At 35.4% G+C, this 23,816-nt stretch overlaps 1 long non-coding RNA gene across 1 annotated transcript in view; it reads left to right on the forward strand.

Moving 5' to 3' along the window:
- The window catches only part of LOC124901047 (uncharacterized), a 192,316-nt gene extending 169,197 nt beyond the window's left edge, over positions 1 to 23,119 (forward strand). Inside the window, exon 2 of the long non-coding RNA XR_007058906.1 lies at positions 22,897 to 23,119. This is a non-coding gene — a long non-coding RNA (uncharacterized LOC124901047). The remainder of the gene's footprint in view (positions 1 to 22,896) is intronic.
- The last annotated feature ends 697 nt before the right edge of the window (positions 23,120 to 23,816 follow it).

The raw sequence follows: 23,816 nt of genomic DNA on the forward strand, positions 1-23,816 counted from the left end.
ATAGTGCTCTTACAAGCAGACTAGAAATTGGAAGAAAGGATCTAAGTACTGACAATAAAGTTTTTTTTCTGTTTTCTTATCTCTAAGGTTGGCCTTGACTGTGATGCTTGATTACATTACTTTCAAGTTCCACAGCACTTGATGTGTCCCTTGATAACTATGTCACTTTGTGCACACATATTACATGATCAGTGATTCTCTATTAAATATAACATTCCTTAAATTCTGTTTCCTGGTTTCTCTCCATAATGACTAATAGGAATAAGCCATATATAGACCTAAATAATCAAATATCATTCCCTAAAAATCAATTTATATTTTCTCAGCTTGCTAAATCAATGTTAAATTAACCAAGCCATGGCATAGAAAATGAAAGCTGGATAATACCAAGCCACTGATTCATTCAAGACAAAGCTATTTGAATTCCTCTTTAAATGGAGACATTTTTGATGTTAGATATTCACATGATGGCTTGAAAATCATCTTGGTCAGTAGAAAGTCTTCCAAGCCCCTACATATTTAGCATACCTTGAATGTAAAGCATCAAGTCTGCATGGGTTTTAGACTAGACTTTCTAGGATGTAATGAGTAAAGAATTGATTGACTATTAACTGAGAACTCAAGGGAAAGATAAAAAAAGTTAGGCTCCTTATTAGATAGGACATTATTAGACAATATTGGGAACTTAAGAGCATTATCTTAATCTGTTAGGAAGTCAGTAGCATGCCTGAAACACCAATCAGATCTCAGATTCACAGTTCAGGACAAATAGAACCATTATTACTGTTTTCAGCTGAGCTTGTTGTGATTCATAATAGGGAACAGAATGGGAAGTGTGTCCTTCTACAGATATTAGCTCATTAAGTTAGTAACTCATTCCAAAACATGTATGTGGTATACTAAAATCAGTAAGATATGATCTATGACATTAAACAATTGAGATTTGGTAGGAATTGACAAAATATTACCCGAGGGGTACCATCAGTTGTCATAAGTAGCTCCTTAGCAGGATGCACAGGCTATAGTGAGCTATATAAGAGAAGGGGTCAATGTGTCTGGAGTGGCCGCCAGATAGATAGAGGTTCAGGGAGGGAGAGAATCAGAAAGTCCTGTGGCAGTTGAGATAAGCAGCTGTTTATCAGGCATAAATGGCAAGTAGGGCATTACAGGCATAAGGAGCTGTTAGAGCAGAGCCAGGATGGTATGTTATACATGGGCTTCTTTGAGGGCATATCAGTAGTTTGGGATGGATAGATTACCAGGGCCAAGAGAAGTGAGACAGGAGGCCACAGTAAGGATCATAGCAGGTGGAGTTATTTGAAGTGGGGAGGGCACAATCAGATTCAGGCTTTCAAACATCACTCTGACAGTTGAGTAAGACTATTCAAAGGGAAATATACCACAGATAATGAGTTCAGCTAAGAATCTTTTTCAGTGGTCTAGGGTTGCCAATGTCAGTTTAGGATCCACAGAATAAAATTCTCTAAGAAAAGGTTAGAAATTATGTAATTTATTATTTTCTTATTTTGTGATGGGTTTATTTCTAAATTTCCTAAAGAGATAATCATCTATATCATATATAAAGATGCTAGAGAAAAAATACATGACAACATTTCTTTGACCTTTCAGCGAACTATTTAAGGAACAGTGATGAGATCTTTCTTATTTTCTGGATACAACACGTAGCAATATACTTGAAACAGAGTGGGTTTACAAAAAGTAAACCTTCAATGTGCAAGCCTGATGTAATGGCAAAATCACCGTCACTACAAAGAATTTTTTTCCTCTGAGCCAATCTGGATTTTTTTCAGTATAACACCATTTCTATGTGTTTCTGCTTTTAGGACAGATAGTAGACTATTGTTTCTGTCTTTCTATAATTACGCTTGACAAACCTATAGATCAGCACCAGATAAATTGTTGGGAGAATTAATACTCTTTCTTTATGTTTTTGATCAAAAGCTTTTTATTTTCTGTCCTGTTAAACATTGCCTTTCACATTGTCAGCTCCTTCAGGGCAGGGACTAAATTTTACTCTAATTAAGATATAAACAATTCTTACCTTTGTCTAACACATGAAAGTTTCACAAAGTGCTTGCATTTAAAATTGTTTATTTAATCATAGCCACCATGCTAATTAAAAAGGCAAACTTTTTTTATGTTTTTTTAAAATTTTTTATTTTTATCTTATTTTATTATTATTATACTTTAAGTTTTAGGGTACATGTGCACAATGTGCAGGTTAGTTACATATGTATACATGTGCCATGCTGGTGTGCTGCACCCATTGACTCGTCATTTAGCATTAGGTATATCTCCTAATGCTATCCCTCCCCACTCCCCCCACCCCACAACAGGCCCCAGTGTGTGATGTTCCCCTTCCTGTGTCCATGTGTTCTCATTGTTCAATTCCCACCTATGAGTGAGAATATGCGGTGTTTGGTTTTTTGTCCTTGCGGTAGTTTACTGAGAATGATGATTTCCAATTTCATCCATGTCCCTACAAAGGACATGAACTCATCATTTTTTATGGCTGCATAGTATTCCATGGTGTATATGTGCCACATTTTCTTAATCCAGTCTATCATTGTTGGACATTTGGGTTGGTTCCAAGTCTTTGCTATTGTGAATAGTGCCACAATAAACATACGTGCGCATGTGTCTTTATAGCAGCATGATTTATAATCCTTTGGGTATATACCCAGTAATGGGATGGCTGGGTCAAATGGTATTTCAAGTTCTAGAACCCTGAGGAATCGCCACACTGACTTCCACAATGGTTGAATGAGTTTACAGTCCCACCAACAGTGTAAAAGTGTTCCTATTTCTCCACATCCTCTCCAGCACCTGTTGTTTTCTGACTTTTTAATGATCGCCATTCTAACTGGTGTGAGATGGTATCTCATTGTGGTTTTGATTTGCATTTCTCTGATGGCCAGTGATGATGAGCATTTTTTCTTGTGTTTTTTGGCTACATAAATGTCTTCTTTTGAGAAGTGACTGTTCATGTCCTTTGCCCACTTTTTGATGGGGTTGTTTGTTTTTTTCTTGTAAATTTGTTTGAGTTCATTGTAGATTCTGGATATTCGCCCTTTGTCAGATGAGTAGGTTGCGAAAATTTTCTCTCATTTTGTAGGTTGCCTGTTCACTCTGATGGTAGTTTCTTTTGCTGTGCAGAAGCTCTTTAGTTTAATTAGATCCCATTTGTCAATTTTGGCTTTTGTTGCCATTGCTTTTGGTGTTTTAGATATGAAGTCCTTGCCCATGTCTATGTCCTGAATGGTAATACCTAGGTTTTCTTCTAGGGTTTTTATGGTTTTAGGTCTAACGTTTAAGTCTTTAATCCATCTTGAATTAATTTTTGTATAAGGTGTAAGGAAGGGATCCAGTTTCAGCTTTCTACATATGGCTAGCCAGTTTTCCCAGCACCATTTATTAAATAGGGAATCCTTTCTTCATTTCTTGTTTTTGTCAGGTTTGTCAAAGATCAGATAGTTGTAGATATGCGGCATTATTTCTGAGGGCTCTGTTCTGTTCCATTGATCTATATCTCTGTGTTGGTACCAGTACCATGCTGTTTTGGTTACTGTAGCCTTGTAGTATAGTTTGAAGTCAGGTAGCGTGATGCCTCCAGCTTTGTTCTTTTAGCTTAGGATTGACTTGATGATGCGGGCTCTGTTTTGGTTCCATATGAAGTTTAAAGTAGTTTTTTCCAATTCTGTGAAGAAAGTCATTGGTAGCTTGATGGGGATGGCATTGAATCTATAAATTACCTTGGGCAGTATGGCCATTTTCACGATATTGATTCTTCCTACTTTTTTTTTAAAAATTTGCACATGAGAAAATACTTGCCCAGGGTCGTCCAGTAAGTAACCATCAAGGTCAAAGCTTGAATCAAGTCTTTTAATTTTTAATATGTTTTGGAACTAAGATTTACTGAGCATTTAACTGTGTGCCAGATGTTGGGCAAAACCTTCTACATGGACATATCCCACTGTGGGGGGCTGCTACTGGTATTAAAAGATGAAGGAAAGAAAGGTTAAGCACCTAAGCACACTGTCAATTTGGTATTCTTTTCATTATATCTGGGCACCACCTCTTTGAATATACCACAGAATTTATTCAATGCCTTGTACATACTTAGCCCTCAATAAATATTTTTGGCTGGATTAATGAATCTTAATATCTTAACATTTTCATATCCTTCTTTATTAACACTCTCTAAAATTTGATGGGGAACTGGTTAGGGTCTTGCTGAGCTAATCATACTGTCCTGTGGAATCAGGACACCATAGGACAGGCACTTTAATGGTTGAGAGCAGGCGTGCCTCTGCCACTTCCAATCATGTTTGAACTTGGCTTGCTTGTTTAACTTATCTGAGTTGTAGTTTCACAATTTGTAAGCAATGCAATGTGGCCCCTGTGTGCTCTAACCTCATCTCATCTTACTTTTTCCTCACGCACGGGCCTGTACCCTCACCAGACATCTTTTCTGCCCTCCAAAGAGTAAAATTTATTCCTGCTTCTAAGTCCTTGCTCTTGTTGAAATGCTCTTTATCCAGCTGTCCACAGTGCTGGCTCTTGCTTATCTTTAAGCTTTCAGCTCAAATGTCCTCTTCCTAGAGTGGTCTCTGTCCTCTCTAAAGTCTCCCACCTTCCGTCCCCACAGTCAATCTCTGTCTCAGAACTCTGTCTCATTTCTTTCTTGACCCTTATTATCATCAGAAATTATCTTGTTTTATTATTTACTTGTTTATTGTTTATTTCATGCCAACAGGATATAAGCTTCAAAATTCTGTCTGTTCTCAATATGGTCATTTTTCTGGAGGTAGGTTTTACAATTTTCATTTGAATCTCGAGGTGGTCTGTGTGTTCCAAAGGTAACACAAAAATTTCTTATTTGAATTCTGATAAATTATTCCTTTTATTCAAATAAATTCCTGAAGACTCAAGCATTTAGATATCTTGAAAAATGAAACCATAAAGATTTTAGAATTGCACTGCTCAATATGGTAGTAACTAGCCCCAAGAAGCTATTTACATACAAATTAATTAAAATTAAATAAAACTGGAAATTCATTTCCTCAGTTTTACCAACTACATTTCCAGTGCTCAATAACCCCTTAGGACTAGTGGCTACCAATTGGATAGTGCAGATATAGAATATTTCTATCACTGCAGAAAGGTCTATTGATCAGTGCTATTTTACAAGATAGCCTGGATATTTCTTTATAACCATATAAGGGAAACCCTCAAAAACAGATTACAAAACCAAGAAAGGAAAAACTTTGATAAATTTAGTTGTATAAAAACTAGGAACTTCAGAATAGCCAATGGTATCTTCAACAAAGTAAAACTAAATATAGAAGAGGTAAATGATTTGCAATATTTATGACATAAAAAGCTAAGTTTCTTAGGCTTATTAAAATTCATATAATTCAATGAGAAAAAACTTGATTGAAAATGTTAAAGTAAACAAAGTCAAATGTTCAAAAGAATATGAAAATAAATATTATCTCACTCTTAATTAAAAATATATAAGCCCAAACAATAATGTCGTGCCAGTTTTAGTGTATTAAATTAGCAAAAGTGAGGAGATTTGGTACTAGTGAAGGTATGAGAAGTTGCCCTATTTATTAAATATAATAGTGTATTTTCCAGAATAAAATTAGAACAAAATTGTTAAAAAGCAAGGAATTAGAGTATACCAACATTGTTTGCTACCCTTTTACAAAATGCACCCAATAGGTATCATGTTATGTATGTACTTCTATATCTTGTTTTACACTTCATATTAGATTTTTGAAAAATTTTCATATCAGCCCACAAATATCTAGTTCATTTTTGAATGTCGCTGTGGTATATCCTCATGTGCATGTGCATTAACTTATTTAACTCTTGGTGGTAGATATTTATCTTCTTTTGAATCCCCTGGGGTAGATCATGATTGGGCTACATCAGTCATGGTGGTTCCACTCGTGCATACCTTCCCACCCACTAGCCCAACACTTGGGTTAGGAGTAGGGATATGACACTGACAATAAGACATGAGAGAAAGTTAGGAGGTGGGATCCTAGTAAATATTTGCCTCTTTGATTAAAAGAGATAATAACAAGGAATGGCCTCTACCACTGGATATGTTAACACTATTACTATTGATAAATAATATGTTATATATTTGTGGAGTACGTGGGATATTTTGTTACTTACACAGAATGTGTAATGTAGTCACCAAGTCTGGGTATTTGGGGTGTTCATCACTTTGGGCATTTGTCATTTTATGTATTGGGAAAAATTCAAGTCTTCTCTTCTAGTTACTTGTGAATAGTGTTGCAATAAATGCACTAGTGCAGTTATCTCTTGGATATACTCATTTATTTTCTTTAGGATAGATACCCAGTAGTGGGATTGCTGGATCATATGTTAGTTCTGTTTTTATATTTTTGAGAAATCTTTATATTATTTTCCATAGTGGCTGTATTTGCATTCCCATCAACAATGTATAAGAGTTCCCTTTTTTCCACATCCTCACTAGTGTCTGTTATTTTTTGTCTCTTTAGTAATAGCCATTCTAACTGGGGTAAGATGATGTATCATTGTGGTTTTGATTTGCATTTACCAGATTATGAGTGATGTTGAGCATTTTTTCATTTACCTGCTGCCCATTTGCACGTCTTCTTTTGAGAACTGTCTGTCCATGTCCTTTGCCCACCTTTTATTGGGATTATTTGTGGGGGTTTTTTTTCATTGTTTTATTTTGTTTTATTGTTGAGTTCTTTGAATTCCTTGTATATTCTGGATATTAGTTCCTTGTCAGATGAATAGTTTGCAAATGTTTTCTCCTATTTAACAGATTGTCTCTTCACTCTTTTGTTTCCTTTGCTGTGCAGAAGCCTTTTAGTTTAATATATTCCCATTTGTCGATTTTTGTTTTAGTTGTCTGTGCTTTTGAGGTATTAGCCATAAAATCTTTGCCTAGACCAATGTTCTGAAGTGTTTTCTCTGTTTGCTTTTAGTAGTTTTATAGTTTTGAGTTTTACATTTAAATCTTTAATCCAGCTTGAATTCATTTTTCTATATGGTGAGAGACGACGGTCTAGTTTCACTCTTATGCATATTGCTATCTAATTTTCCCAGCACCATTTATTGAAGAGGATGTCCTTTCTCTAGTGGATGTTCTAGGCACTTTTGTAGAAAATAAGTTGGTTGTAAATATGTTGATTTATTTTTGGGTTCTCTATTCTTTTCCATTGGACAGAATACCAATACCAATGCTGTTTTGGTTATATAGCCCAGTAACATATTTTAAAGCCAGGCACTTTCATGCCTCTAGCTTTGTTTTTTTGGTCAAGATTGCGTTAGTTATTCTGACTTTTTTTGGTTCTATGTGAACTTTAGTATTGTTTTTCTATTTCTGTGAAAAAGGACATTGGTATTTTAATACAGATTTCATTGAATCTGTAAATTGCTTTGGGCAGTATGGTTATTTTAACAATATTAATTCATGAATATAAGATGTCTTCCCATTTGTTTGTGTACTCTTGAATTTCTTTCATCAATGATAAAACTAATTTTGATAGTAATTTAGGGGCCATGATAAAAACTAGCTTAAGGGCCAAGCTTATGTGCCAATGATGACAGAGTACAAACACAGAAAAATCCAGAATCTTTGATGATGTTGTTGAACACTTAATTAATTAGTCTTTGACCTATGATATTTTCTGGTTTCTTGTTATAGGAGACAGTTATCTGTATTTTTTAAGGCAATTTAATTGGAATCTTCTGCTCCTGGTAGCCAAGAGCATACTAATTTTCACAGCTGTTATATATGTAACATTTAAAAAACTTTTTATTTTTAAATAATTATGGACTCCAGGAAGTTGAAAAAATAGCACAGAGAGTCCTGTGTGCTCTTCACCCAACAATGATTATCTTGTATAACGGTAGTACAATATTGAAATCACAAAATTGACTTTGGTGCAATACTGATAACTAAACTACATATCTCATTCAGTTTTCATGATTTTTTATACATTCCTCTGTGAGTGTGTGCGTGTGTGTGTGTGTGTGTAATTTTATACAACTTTACGTCATGTACAGGTTTGTGTAGCCACTACCATAATCAAGATACAGAACTGCTCCTTCACTACAAGGAACTCTTCATGTCATTTTTTTATACTCCACCCATCCACCCTGACAACAACTAATATGTTCTTAGCCTCTGTAATTTTGTCATTTTGAGAATATTATATGAATGGAATCATATAGTATGCAACTTTTTGAGACCGGTTGTTTTCATTAAGCATGATGCACTTGAATACCATTCAGTTTGCTGCACATATAGTTTGTTTCTTTTTATTGCTGAGCAGTGTTCCATTTTATGGATGTACCAGAATTTGTTTAACCATTTATCCAAGGACATTTGGATTATTTCTAGTTTTTGCTATTGTGAATAAAGCTGCTATGAATCTTTATGTACAGGTGTGTGTCTGTGTGTGTGTATGTGTGTGTAAGTTTTCACTTCTCTGGGGTAAATGCCCAAGGTTGTTATTGCTGGGTCATATAGTAAGTACATCTTTCATTTTGTAAGAAATGGTCAAACAGTTTTCCAGAGTGGCTGTACCATTTTACATTCTACAATGTATAAGAATTCCAGTGGCTCACGCCTATAATCCCAGCATGTTGGAAGGCTGAGGTGAGTAGATCATTTGAGGTCAGGAGTTCAAGACCAGCCTGGCTGACATGGTGAAACCCCATTTCTACTAAAAATACAAAAATTAGCCAGGCATGGTGGTGGGTGCCTGTAATCCCAGCTACTCAGGAGGCTGAGGCAGGAGAATCGCTTGAGCCTGGGAGGCAGAGGTTTTGGTGAGCTGAAATCATGCCACTGCATTCCAGCCTGGGTGACAGAGTGAGACTCTATCTCAAAAAAAAATTATAATAATAATAATTCCAGTTTCTCTGCATTGTCACCAGCATTTTGAATTACACTAACATTTTTAAGCCATTCTGAGTGTGTAGTCATAGCTCAATAAAGCATTTTTAATTTTTTCAAAGGATACATAAAATATTATTAACAATGGTTATATTGGGGAAACAGTTTGGAAACGAGGGAAGGGTAGATGTTTTATTTTGTAGTTTTGTATTTTGTTTGGATATCGTTATGTGTATATATTAGTTGCATATATTATGTCTACAGGACATATATATGGGCCTTTGTTTTTTGTTTTATTTTCTTATTTGTTTTTAAGTCCATAATAAAAGTTTAACAATTCTGTTATTATAGAGTAGAAGTAAATGTCTGTATAGCTTTTTCTGTGTTGGTAACAGAACTAATGTCAAGAAAAAGCCGCAGACATCTAACAATGTTGGCTGTCCCGGTTTTACATTTTACTGTTTTGACACTTATTTACCTAAACTGAATATAACGTTTCCCTTGTGTCTACAAATTTGCCAGATTACATCCTGTTCTACACATGACTACATTTATATTCTTCTGAAGCCACACAAACAAAATATATTTTCCTGTTAAATGCCATGCTTAATAGCATTTTGGAATTTAATTGCTTGTCTTTTATACAACTGAGAGAGAATGCAAGCCTTGCCTTCCTTGAAGTGTATTTATTTATGCTACAATACAATTTTTACTCTCAATTTGATCTTTTAAGAGGATTGTTTGTACTTCATTGGTTTTTGAGTAAGGTCACACAGAGTAAATGTGTAAACACTGGTTATCTGCTGTCTGAATAATGAATCTCAGAAAGCCCTGCAAAACCTCTGCATTTATCAAGGACAGAAAAATTGCCTAATCAAGCAACATGCAAGGAGCAGAAATAGAATGAGGTAAGCCCCAACTGTACGTGTCAGGGAAAGTGCTTTCCGCTGGGCATAGTCATGCCAGCCACCCTCAAGGTCATCACCTTTTGCCCTAAATGGATTGATTGTGTGGTAAACTATTCTGATTGTTCACACATGTGGATGACCTTCAGGAAAAGAACAGCAGGGACACCTCTGTGGTAAAACATGTTGGATTTATTGATCATTGTAACAAGGAAGAACAGACACCATGGAGAGATATGAGATGTCTCAGTGACAGAATGTTAGTGAGAACCTGTTACAAGATTTGATCTTTAGTTGGGTGACTTGGGGAAGGGTTTAAGAAAGGTGAGCTTTTCTCTAAATTGGCCGTCAGAAAGCAGGGTCAATTCTCAATAGATCTTATTTATAAAGAGGGGAGACTAGAGCAAGGCTAAAGCTCTAACTGGTAAAGAAGTAGCCATCATTCATTTTAGCCGAAAGAGAGTGCTTGGTATTTTGTGAGTGGCACAGTGACTTTGCTTTTATATTGGCTTAGAAAAAATTATGTAGTTGCTCCATATTGTCTCATTCTACCCATGATATCAGAGTAACCTTGTTTGAGGTTGGTACTCTGTGAGACTGTTAATGTTCGGGAAAAGAATAACATTATCCAGCTGTCGGTGCCACCCACATCAGTTTCTGAATGTCAGCAGCTGCTCCTTTTTCGCTTTCTCCTGTGAGTGGAAAAAGTTGAAGCCACAATATCATAGATTGCTATATGGACCACAGCTTGGCATTTACTCATGTAGCTTTTAAATGTATTTCATTTATTTGCCATAGCTCTTTGACCTGGTTTTCAAGTATGTTGTCATTATTCCAAGGTTAAATGCTAACATAAAAACGCATGACTTTCCCATCATCCTAAAAGTCAAGCCCGTCTGATTCAGCTTTCTGCCTCCAGGCTAAGCTGCCCATAATGATTGTAAAAAATTGATGTCTTTTCTGCTTTTAATGATCTAGCTGAAAGGAAGAAAATTCTACTGTTGCCCTCAGAACTCCACAGCCTTCACTCTGACTTTGAAAATGTTTTTCTACTCGGTCCTCTATGGAGATGCTCTCTCTCCTGTATAATTGAACTAATTTCCTGGAGCAGGCTTTAGAACCAAGGACCCCAAACCAGAAGGCTTTAGGCTGAATCTGGCCAGCTGACCTGTTTTATTTTGTATGCATGGTGTTTTAAAAACAGGTGAAATTTTGGATCCGGGCGTTGTGGCTCACGCCTGTAATTCCAGCACTTTGGGAGGCCGAGGCGGGCAGATCACGAGGTCAGGAGATCGAGACCATCCTGGCTAAAACGGTGAAACCCTGTCTCTATGAAAAATACAAAAAATTACCCCGATGTGGTGGTGGGCACCCGTAGTTGCAGCTAATCGGGAGGCTGAGGCAGGAGAATGGCGTGAACCTAGGAGGCGGAGCTTGCAGTGAGCAGAGATCGCATCACTGCACTCCAGCCTGGGCCACAGAGCGAGACTCCGTCTCAAAAAAAAAAAAACAAAAAAAAAACCTGAAAATTTCATATAAAATTCATCATTTTGTCTTCCCTGAAGAATCAGAATATTTGGCCATACTGAGCAACCGTTGGGTTGGAGTTGAGTAATGACTATTCCTTTAGGTCATCCAAAGATTGCTATAGTCCCCTCCACAGCCTACTGCAGCACCACCCTATGCTACTCATTTGTGTTTTTGCCTGGGGTTTTATAGCGTTTGAGTTTTCAACACTGGCATAGACTTCTTTTCTCTGCTACTTGTATACATTTCTCAAACTGGGCTTTGGAGTATAGGAGGGTCTACAGTGTATATTCAATGTCATTCAATAAACATAATGGATAATCCCAGAGTGCTAATTGTGCATAGAGGTTTACAAAACATATTATTGTTACAATAAATCTTACACAAATATATTATGGAATGTAATGGAAAATAGATTAAAAATAAATCTAGAAATAAAAATAAAACTTGTCACTTCAGGCTATACCACGGTGAAGCCCATGGAGTAGTGACTGAAGTCTTTGCCATTGGAGTTACTTTGGTGGAAAAGTTATTGAACAGTGGTACTAATACAATAATCCCAAGTTAATCTTTTCCTATTTTTGTAAACTTTCAAGGTGTCAGAATTTTTGAAATGGAAAGAAATTTAAATATTAACTAATCTGTTCATTTCATTTTTATTGGGAATTTAAAAGACTGATCAATGAATAGTCAGTCTGGGCAGTGAAAGAATCCAGATTTCCAGATTGCTAGTCTTTTCCTATTCAATGTGTGTGTTGCTTAACATAATGGCAGAAGACTTACATACATATTACTAATGTGTATTATTATCTTTTTGGTTTGATCATTCTATTTGTTAATTATAGAATTATGGAGAACTTCTCAAAGAAATTCAAGTTTTCTTTGATGTAGTATGATAGTTTATATTAATGTATTATATAATTTGTATCAAATAAGACTCAAATAGAAGTTACTGGTCACACTAAGAACAAATTATTTGATTTTATATGTTGGCATCTTTGGATAGTTTTGGCCATGAAAATGCAACTATCTGAAGCATTATAGTTGCAGCAGAGAAAGAGAAAATATTACAATTTGAAATGAATCTTATTTACCAAATGTGACTTGCAATATTTTCCCCATCCTAGACAATATAATAAATATGTTTGTAGATCAAACTTCATGCATCTGGTCTAATAGAGTCATACTTTGACTTTTATCTTTGTTTTTCCCATTTGTTAATAGCCTGTTGAAACCTATTCTTGTTCTGTGATTGGTGAATAGTAAGAATACTTTCAGTTTTCATACCTACAGCTGAATGGTAATTGGTAAAATTTTGAACAAAATGATATTACAACAGAAAGAATTTGATAGATTATTAGAATTTATGGAAGCTGGTGATTGACTTGTAGAAGGCAGTTAACTGATCTCAGAGGAGCAACAATGTGTCATACTTGAAGAATTTATTTACTGGCAAATCTCCAAAAATGAATTACTTCTTTTCCAAATTTCTTTAGTTATTTATATCAACCACTATGATGGATCCTAATTACTTTAATTTGTTTTGAGAAAAAATAATAACTACTGTCAAAAACACATCATGCATAAAGAAGAATTCATAACATGCAACCTTGAAACTTATATATTCTTTATGACTATAGTATGCAGTATGATTACAGGCATAATTTTGCTTAAGGAATATTCAATGCTTGCTTTTTTATAAAGGCACTCATATCATTTTGGGTGGACAGTAGCTCTACATATTTATTTAATCCAACTATACAAATCAAGTGGTTGAATATTAGTAATTTCATATGGCTTAACTTCTCCAACTCTCCAATTGCCTTACCTGTCTTATATTTGTAGCACCTTAGGGACTCTCATATTCATCACATCCACAGACAAACTCATGATCTTCTCCAGACCTGGGGTTCCTGCCTTAGGAGATGTTACCACTGTCCATTCATCTTGGTAAGCTGAAAACCTGTACTCCATCTTTTATACCTCCTTTTTCCCTAATCTATCAGTATCAAAACATCACTGTGATCTTTTGATTGTTTTTCTCCATAATATCTTGATTACATGTACTTCTCTCCACCTTCAGTGCCAGAATTCTTAGTCATCTTTCACTGGAAATATTGAGAGCACTCCTACTGATCTCCTTGTACCAAACATGTCCCTTTTTGAAGGTGTTGGCCAGATTGCAGCCTGAGTAATATTTTCAAGCTCCAAATCTGATCATGTTTCACCATGCTCCATAAGCCCTGCTTAGAAACCTTCAATGACTCTCCAGTGTTTCTACAGTGAACCAAAGTTCTTTACCTGGCTTATGTGGCTAAGGCCAAGACTGGTAGCTGTCCAGTTAAAATCCATAGTTTCCTTTTCCATTACTGAAAGAATCTGTAGTATTGGATGTGGCAGTATAACTCACTTGCAGATAGGAGTGGCCGATGAGAGAAAGTTGGGATTGTTGAATGGGACTTGGAGAGAGCACTTTTAAAGAGGTTTAATTAGGCTGGGTGTGGTGGCTCATGCCTGTAATCCCAGTTAACTCAGGAGGTTGAGGTGGGGGAGTTGCTTTGAGCCCAGGAGTTCAAGACTGCAGTAAGTTATTATTACACCACTGTGCTCCAGCCTGGGCAGTGGGGTGAGACCATATCTCTATTTGGTTTTGGGTTTTTTTTTTTTTTTTCATAAAGAGGCTTAATTGACTGTGAGGCACATAATTTTGCTCTCACTCTTTTCTCTTTTCTGTTGTCTGGAATGAGTATGTGATGTTAGAGCTGCAGTAGCATTGTTGTGACTATGAGGAGGCCTTCAGAATAGAAGCCATACAATAATATGTTAGAGAAAATAAGCAAAGTCTGGATCCCTTGTGACTTAAGTCTCCCCAGAGTGCCTCTCTTCAGACTTCTTTATGTCGGGAAACACATATTAACCTGTTTATCTTTAAGCCCCCATTATTTGGTTTTTCTATTTTTCTATGAAGCTGAACTTACTCCTAATTGTTAAAATGACCCTGTGAAATTTGATCCCTATCTATTCTCTATGCCTCTAGCATTGCTTTCTATATCCTGCCATCGCAGCTTACTTTCATTTTCCCAGATCGGCGCGCACTGTATTTCTTGCTACTGCCAATCCTTTGTGTGAGCTGCTCTTTTGTTTGGTATACTCTATGCATATAACTTCACTCCCCTCCTTTACCACGTAAATCTCTTTTAATTTTTCAGAGGTCTTCAGTTTTAATATACTGGGAAAGCCTTTACCTTTTCACTAGCATATGTCAAACTCCTTGGAATAGCTCTCCTGGAACTGTGTTCCTTTTCTTTCCAAGGTTTGCCTCAACTTTTCTTAAGTGTTTGGAGATATTCTTTACATACAATAAAAATCACCCTTTTTATGTGGATAATTGGGTGACTTGTGTCAAATGTGTAACCACCACTAAATTCAAGATACATATTTGCATTACCACAAAAAGTGACTCATGCTCCTTTACAGTCCTTCTCCTCAGCCTTCAGACCCTGACAACCATCAATTTCTTTTTTTACATTTCCATATTGGTTTATTATAAAAGTGGATTTTTTTTCCCCAGGCTTACAAATGTATAACTGACAGATATTACATATATATATATATAAAAAATTGTACACCATATATATAGTGTACAACATGATGTTTTGATATATATGTATACATGTTGAAATGATTAAATAAAGCTAATTAACATATCAGTTACCGTACCATTTTTTTCTGGTGAGAACATGTAAGATCTACTTTTAGCAATTTTCAAGTATACAATACATTCTTGTTAACTATAGTTACCATGCTGTACAACAGATCTCCATAACTTATTCATCTTGTCTTACTGAAACTTTATACCTTTTAACCAACATCTCTCCATTCTCCTCCAGCCTCTGCTACCCTCTGCCCCTGGTGACTTCCATTCTCTTCTCTGCTTCTGTGAGTTCTACTTTTTTAGATTCCACATATAAGTGAGACCATGCAGTATCTGTCTTATTTCACTTAGAATAACGTCCTCTAGATTCATCCATGTTGTCACAAATCATAAGATTTCCTTCTTTTGAAGGCTGACTGGTAATCCATTGTTTATATACACCACATGTTCTTTATCCTTTCGCCCACCAGTGGCCGCTAAGCTAATTCTGTATCTTGGCTATTGTGGATAATGAATATAGGAGTGGAGATATCTCTTCAACATATTTATTTCATTTCTTTTGAATATATGCCCAGAAGTAGGATTGCTGAATGATATGGCAGTTCTGTTTTAAAATTTTTGAGGAGCCACTGTACTGTTTTCCATGATGGCTGTACCAATTTACTTTCCCACCAAAATCATACAAAGTTTCCCTTTTCTCCACATCCTCGCCAGCACTTGCCATCATTTGTCTTTTGTATGCAACCATTCTAACAGTAATTAGGTGCTACCTCATTATGGTTTTGATTTGTATTTCCCTGATTACTGATATTGATAATTTTTTATATATCCTTTGGCTACTTCTATATCTTCTTTTGAGGAAATGTTTATTCATGTCCGTTGACCATTTTCCAACTTATTTATTTTCTTGCTGTTGAGTTATTTCAGCTCCTTACATATTGTAGATATTAACCTGTTATGAGAAGTATGGTTTGCAAATATTTTCTCCCATTATGTAGATCATCTCTTCACTCTGTTTGTTTCCTTTGCTGTATAGAAGCTTTTTAGTTTGATGCAATCCCATTTGTCTATTTTTGCTTTTGTTGCCTGTGATTTTGAAGTCATATTTAAAATAATTGGGCAGGCGTGGTAGCTCATGCCTGTAATCCCAGCACTTTGGGAGGCTGAGACAGGTGGATCACTTGAGGTCAGGCATTTGAGAAAAGCCTGGCCAACATGACGAAACCCTATCTCTATTAAAAATACAAAAATTAGCTAGGTGTGGTGGCATGCACCTGTAGTTTCAGCTACTTGGGAGGCTTAGGCAGGAGAATTGCTTGAACCCAGGAGGCAGCAGTTGCAGTGAGCCGAGATTGCATCACCGCACTCCAGCCTGGGCGATAGAGCAAGACTGTGTCTCAAAAATAAAATAAAATAATAGCCTGACCAATGTCAAGATTTCCCTCTACGGTTTCTTCTAGTAGTTTTACAATTTCAGAGCTTACACTTAAGTTTTTAATCTATTGTAACTTAATTTTTGCAGATGGTGTGGGATAAGGGTCAAATTTCATCCTTCAGCAGGAAGATATCCAGTTTTTTCAACACCATTTATTGAAAAGACTATCTTTTCCACATTGTGTGCTCTTGGCACCTTTGTTGAAGATCAATTGACCATAAAATGAAGACTTATTTCTAGAATTTCAATCCTGTTCCATTCGTTGATGAGTCTGTTTTCACACCAGTGCCATTCTATTTTGATTACTATAGATTTGTAGTATATTTTGAAATCAGATACTATGTGCCTCCAGCTTTGCTCTTTTTGCTCAAGATCACTTTGGCTGTTCAGGGTCTTTGGTTGTTCCACATGAGTTTTTTTTTTTTAACTTCTGTGAAAAATTGATAACCATTCATTACCAATGGATTTTATTTCTATTCCTATGGTTTTGCTTTTTCCAGAATGTCATATAAGCAAACTATATAATATATAGCTTTTATTGGTCAACTTCTTTCTGTTAGCAAAATGGTTTTGAAATTTATTCATATTATGCATGTATCAGTAGCTCCTTCCTTTTTGCTTTGTAATGTTCCACCGTATGAGTATACCAGACATTTGGGTTGTTTCCAGGTTCTGCTTTGTTTTATAATAAAGCCGCTATAAACATTCACATACACATTTTTGCATTTTTTATGAACATAGGTTTTCATTTCTGTTGAATAAATGACTAGACAAAGAATTGCTGAATCATATGGTAAAGGCATATTTAACTTCATGGGAATCTACAAAACTGCTTTCAAAATGGGTTATACTAATATACCATTTTGCATTTCCATCAACAATGAATGTATGAGAGTTCCAATTCCTCTGCTCCCTCTCCATTAATTTGTATTATCAGTCTTTAATTTTAGCCATTTAAGCAAAGTGGTGGTAATGTTATGGTTTTAATTTGTATTTTCCTAATAAGTAATGATGTTGAGTATCTTTTCATGAGCTTATTGGCATTTATATACCTTCTTCGGTAAAGTGTGTGTTCAAATTTTCTACTTATTTATAAGGGATTGTTTGTTTTCTTATTACTGAATTGTAAGAGTTTCTGTTTTTTTAATATATTCTGGCTATGTATTTTAAAATCACTGTTTTACAGAGTTATTGTACTATTCCACATCTGTGACAGCAGTATATGAGAGTGCTAATTCCACTACATCCTCATCAACATTTTATATAGTCAGTCTTCTCAGTTTTAGACATTCTAATAGGAATATGTGTGTGTATTTCATTCCTTTTTTAGAGTAGCTTTTACAGAAAACTATTACAGAAAAATTGATAAAATGATACAGAGATTTTCCACATGTCCAGTTTCTCCTATTATTAACATCTTGCATTAGGTATGGTAAATTTCTTACAATCAATGAGTCAATATTAATATATAACCATTAACTAAAGTCCATATTTTGTTTAGATTTACTTAGTTTTTTTCCACATATTCTTTTTCTGTTCTAGGATCCCATCTGGAATACCACATTAAATTCAGTTGTCATGAATCCTTAGGTTCCTCTTGACTGTGAGATTCTTTTAATTGTGTTTAAATTTGTATTTCCCTAATGATTAGTGATGTTGAACATCTTTTCATGTGCTTATTTGCCATCTGTGTGTCTTTTGTAGTAAAGTGGTTTTTCAAATTTTGAGTCATTTATTACTGAATTTTTTAATTATTGAGTTTTGAGAGGATGACTATTTCATATATATATGAAATAATATGTCTGATAAGAGGCTTGTATCCACATATGTATACATATGTGTGTATATATATGCGTATATATATGTGTGTTTATATATGCGTATATATATATATATCTGAGACTTCTGGATATAAGCGTCTTATCAGACATTCTTTGAAAAGCTTTTAAAGCTTTTCTCTAAGCCAGTAGCTTATCTTTTCATTTTCTTTTTTAAAATTCATTAATTTTTTTATTGTACTTTAAATTCTTGGATACATGTGCAGAACATGCAGGTTTGTTTCATAGGTATACATGTGCCATGGTGGTTTGCTGCACCTATCAACCCGTCATCTAGGTTTTAAGCCCTGCATGCATTAGGTATTTGTCCTAATGCTCTCCCTCCCCTTCCTCCCAACCCCCTGACAGGCCCCAGTATGTGATGTTCCCCTCTCTGTGTCCAAGTGTTCTCATTGTTCAACTCCCACTTATGAGTGAAAACATGCGGTGTTTGGTTTTCTGTTCCTGTGTTAGTTTGCTGAGGATGATGGCTTCCAGCTTCATCCATGTCCTTGCAAAGGACATGAACTTATTTTTTATGGCTGCATAGTATTCCATGGTATATATGTGCCACATTTTCTTTATCCAGTCTATCATTGATGGTCATTTGGGTTGGTTCCAAGTCTTTGATATTGTAATAGTGCTGCATGTGTCTTTATAGTAGAATGATTTATGATCCTTTAGGTATACACCCAGTAATAGGATTGCTGGGTCAAATGGTATTTCTGGTTCTAGATCTTTGAGGTTCTAGATCCTTGAAGAATCCACACTGTCTTCCAGAATGGTTGAACTAATTTACACTCCCACCAACAGTTAAAAGCAGTCCTATTTCTCCCATTCTTGCCAGCATCTGTTGTTTTCAGACGTTTTAATGATCACCATTCTAACTGGCATGAGATGGTATCTCATTGTGGTTTTGATTTGCATTTCTCTAATGACCAGTGATGATGAGCTTTTTTTCATATGTTTGTTGGCCGCATAAGTGTCTTCTTTTGAGAAGTGTCTGTTCATATCCTTCACACACTTTGTGATGGGGTTGTTTTTGTCTTGTAAATTTGTTTAAGTTCCTTGTAGATTCTGGATATTAGACCTTTGTCATATGGGTGGCTTGCAAATATTTTCTCCCATTCTGCAGGTTTCCTGTTCACTCTGATGATAGTTTCTTTTCCTGTGCAGAAGCTCTTTAGTTTGATTAGATCTCATTTGTCAATTTTGGTTTGTGTTGCCATTGCTTTTGGTGTTTTAGTTATGAAGTCTTTGCCCATGCCTATGTCCTGAATCATATTGACTAAGTTTTCTTCTAGGGTTTTTATGGTTTTGGGTCTTATATTTAAGTCTTTAATCCATCTTGAGTTAATTTTTGTATAAGGTGTAAGGAAGGGGTCCAGTTTCAGTTTTCTGCACATGGCTAGCCAGTTTTCCCAGCACAGTTTCTTTTAAAGAGCAAAAGTTTGTAATATGAATGAGATTCAATTTATCAATCTTTTTTTCCTATGGTTCATGCATTTTGTGCCTTTCAAAAAAATCCTTGCCTAACTCAAGGTTAAAAACAATTTTCTCTCATGATTTTTCTGGAAGTTTCATCATTTTAGTTTTTATATTTAAGTCTTTGGAAGTTTATTAACCATAATCTATATAACAGTTTGAATTTCATATTTAATTCTATAAATGTTTTTCAAACCACTTTTACACCCACACGAGTGGAAGTTATATATATTAAATTCCTAGTGCCTCAATACTCTTTCTCTTGGATTCTTCTGTTAATGGATTACCTATGATATTGAAGGTTTTTCCTATGCCAGCATTAGCATTCAATTTCTTTTTGAAATATATAAATATTGTGTGTCAATCACAGGTGTCTGATAGTGAGCAATAGAAAACAACTCCGCTTCTTTAAGTAATTTATTGGGAGAATATGAGGGAGCTGAAGAAACAGTTTTCACATAGAAGGAAACAGTTAGTTCCAAAGTGTCTTGGAAGTATGAACTGCTCCATTGTCTTGCCCAGTCAATTCCGTTGCAATAAGTGACCTGAAATCATCTTGCTCTCAGGATTGAAGCAGGTGGAGGAGCATACCTTTTGTCGCTTGCCTTAAGATTCAAATTGGAGGTTAGAAGAAAGCTAAAAAATAAAAACTGTCAACTGACGTGGCTTGGTCATATGCCCACTCTGGCTAGGAAGCATACCTGAATCAACAGCCTCATAAGACTATAGACTATATTCAATGAATAAAGATCATTCCCTGAAAGAAGTTTTGGACACTAATACCTAAAGGTGGGATGGGAACTGGGAAGCCCCAGACTACAAAGTTCTTGATATACAGCCTATTGCCTTAAAACTCTCCTTTTGGCTCCTGTGTGTGCATGCTCGCATGTGTGTTTGTGTTTTCACTTCGATTTTGTAAGTGAAAAGCAAAATGATTTGTAAATAGGTACATCTGTCTAAATGATCAGCCTGGTCCATATTTGTCATGAAAAACCAACTGGCAGTTCAGTTTTAAGACAGACAACACACACTAGAAAAGGAAAGAACTGGGATCCGGGAAACCTATGCCAGTTCCATCTCTGGATATTAGCTATTTGTGGGATCTTGACAAGTCTTTTAATCTGTTTGAATCTAAGTTTCCTTAAGTATAGAACAAATTATCCAGCTACATTATATCTAAGTCCCTTTTTGCTCTAAAATTCTGTAATTCTAAGGATGCCATCTGTATAAATGTTATCTGTTCTTTTGTTAAGAACAGTACTTGTAATAAGAAAACTGAATACACAGAGAAATACATAAACACGTTGCCAGACAAAATACAGGTAACTCAACTACATTTTAAATTTCAGATACACAATAAACAAATTTCAGACATTCTAAAAATATTAGTTGTGTACATGTGAAATTCAAATTTAACTGGCTGCTCTGTATTTTTACTTGCTCAACTTGGCTACCTTAAGGCAGTCCATCAGATATAGCTTATACGCAGCGCACAGGGAAGGAATTCATAAGCAGGAAAAATTACACACAGGTTCTTGAAATAGCATTTTTACATGCTTCTTTGTTAATTGTACCTATAGCAGTTTTAGTATAATTTCTCAATTGAATTTACTAAATGAAATAACATTCTATATCTTGATTATAAGACTGTCTTAATTTGGTCCCTTTTAACAATGAATTTTAATTCAAGAAACAATTTCTCATTGAACTACATGAATGAATTTCCTAATTGTACCCATCATAGACAAGCTCATATTAGGCCTTCACCTGGGGCATATAAGTATTTTTCTAGGGAGCTTAATGGCTTGCTGGTTGAATGAGTATTTTTTGCCTTGTTGAGAATTGAGGTTTACTTTATCACTAAAACCCACTGGCTTTCTTAATCTCCTTTTTTTGTCCTCCTGTACCTATTAATCACACAGAACTGCTTATTCTTCATCATCTTGGCTTTGATGGATACTTCATGTAATAAGTCCCAACCTTCAGCACTGAGTAATTACTTGGGGACTCCTACTTATAAAAGTTCAATAACTATACAACAGCGATACTGTTGATATATGAGCTCTTTTTCTTTCTTGCTTTCTCAACTACATGTACCGAAATGACAGAATGTCTTTATTTTGCCTCTGTAATTTGCAATTGCTTATGTTAACTTTGACATCTAATGCATGGGAGCTAAATCTGAGCAAGGACTTCTGATTTGTAAGTCATAATCTAGGTGTTTGAAGGCATGCATGCTTTTAAAGCCAAAATTTAATTTGTTGACAGGAGTAAATTCTCGTTTGTTAAGGCTCTGAAGTGGTAAGTACATATAGTAATCTCCCTTAACAATCTATGGCTTTGCTGTCAGAAAATGTACCAGTTCAGATCCAAAGCAGTAAAATGAAAATACTGATTGACTGGCTGCTTAGAAAAAAGAAGGGAAACAAAAGACCATCACTTGAGTGCATTAGAACTCAATCCAAATGTAAATGAATTTTGTGATGGTGATGTGGAGAGGATATGAATCTTATAAAATAGACCTTCCTAGTGGTTTGGTAAGCAAATTGAAAATTCCACAGTTCCTTCACTAAATATATTTTTGAAAATCACAGCCAGGAGAAAATGTTGGGGGTTGCCTATTCATATATTTCCTGCACATATTTAGTCAAATAGATGTTTTATTTATCTAAACTTCTCAGTCTATGAAGAGCTTTTTTTTTTACATATTCTCCAGAGTCTTATTTTTTTCTCATGTATATAATATAGTAATTAAGTCTATTTTAAAAATGTTAACATCAAACTTTAATAAGCTTCTGTTTCTACTCCTATAAATTTAGTTTATATATTATTTTTGTTATGTTGATTTTTCTGGACACTTTTTTCATGCAGGACTAAAAGAAGGGAATAAGAACCTTATTTTTCACCCTTATTAAAGGCATATTGTTTCACGCCCTCCAAAATGATGTCACACCCTGGGTTTCCCTCCTAAGATTTCCATGAGTTAGTAGAATTTTTTCATGAAGTTTCCTGTCTCTCACTGTATGCCTCATCAATCAAAACTTACCTGATACCACGAGTCCGAGTCACTCAAAGTCTCACTAAGTAGCTAGTTAAAAGTTTATTCTTGAGTTTTTCAATTTCTTTTATCTCCACAGACATCTCCTTTCTTCAACTGACCTCATCTCTTGCTTGGACCACTGAAGCAGAAGCAGGCTTCTAGCAGCCTCTCTGTTGCCACCATCTTTCCTTTCCATCCATTCTCCAAAAAGCAACCTAAGCGATCATCCCAAGGCCCACAAGGCCCTGTATGAGCAACTTTTGCCTGCCTCTTCAACTACAAAGGTATAATTCCTGAAATATTAAAAAAATTTACAGTGAGTATGTGTCAACCATTTATTTAACTCATTAATTAGAAAACCCATGGGGTAACAAAGTTGATTTAAAGAAATACGTAAGACACAAATACATTTAAGATGAATAGAAAACTAAAAGCAAAGAAAGCAGGAATAAGAATGAAAAGTTAGTTAACCAAATGAAAATGTTGGTTATGTACTACAGAGAAATTTAAAATGTAGCCTTTGGGATTATCTGCTCTACTAACCAAAAACCAGTTTATCCATTTTCTATAAATTAATATCTAACTCTACAAAGATGTAAAATGCCTGGGCTTTAATTGATGGATAATGGTAAGTGAGTAACAGTCCCCAAGAATCAGATGATTCTTGGGCAGCTTGCTAGATCACGTCCTAGAGGACTGAGAACATCACAGTCTTCTTTATGCCTTATATTCTTAATTATCAAAACTCATAGCACTCTACCCTTTGGTCACCAGGGCTCTCACTACATTGCTCTCTTTTCCACTTCTTTAGGCTTTTATACTTATTACTCCCTGTGCCTGAAATGTTTACCGAATTTCTCAGATCAAACCTCTCAGGTAGTCCTTCTTTCAATAGCTTCTTTCAAGAGAGAGGGATTTAGCTATCCCATAGCTTATTATTTAGCTACCTCACCCCTTACCCACGGCTCATTCACCCTGTAGATCATCATCCTTTTTCTTTATTCTTCAGCAGTGTTC

The sequence above is a fragment of the Homo sapiens genome, chromosome 5 (genome assembly GCF_000001405.40).
Source record: "Homo sapiens chromosome 5, GRCh38.p14 Primary Assembly".
In the NCBI taxonomy this organism is placed as follows: Eukaryota; Metazoa; Chordata; class Mammalia; order Primates; family Hominidae; genus Homo; species Homo sapiens.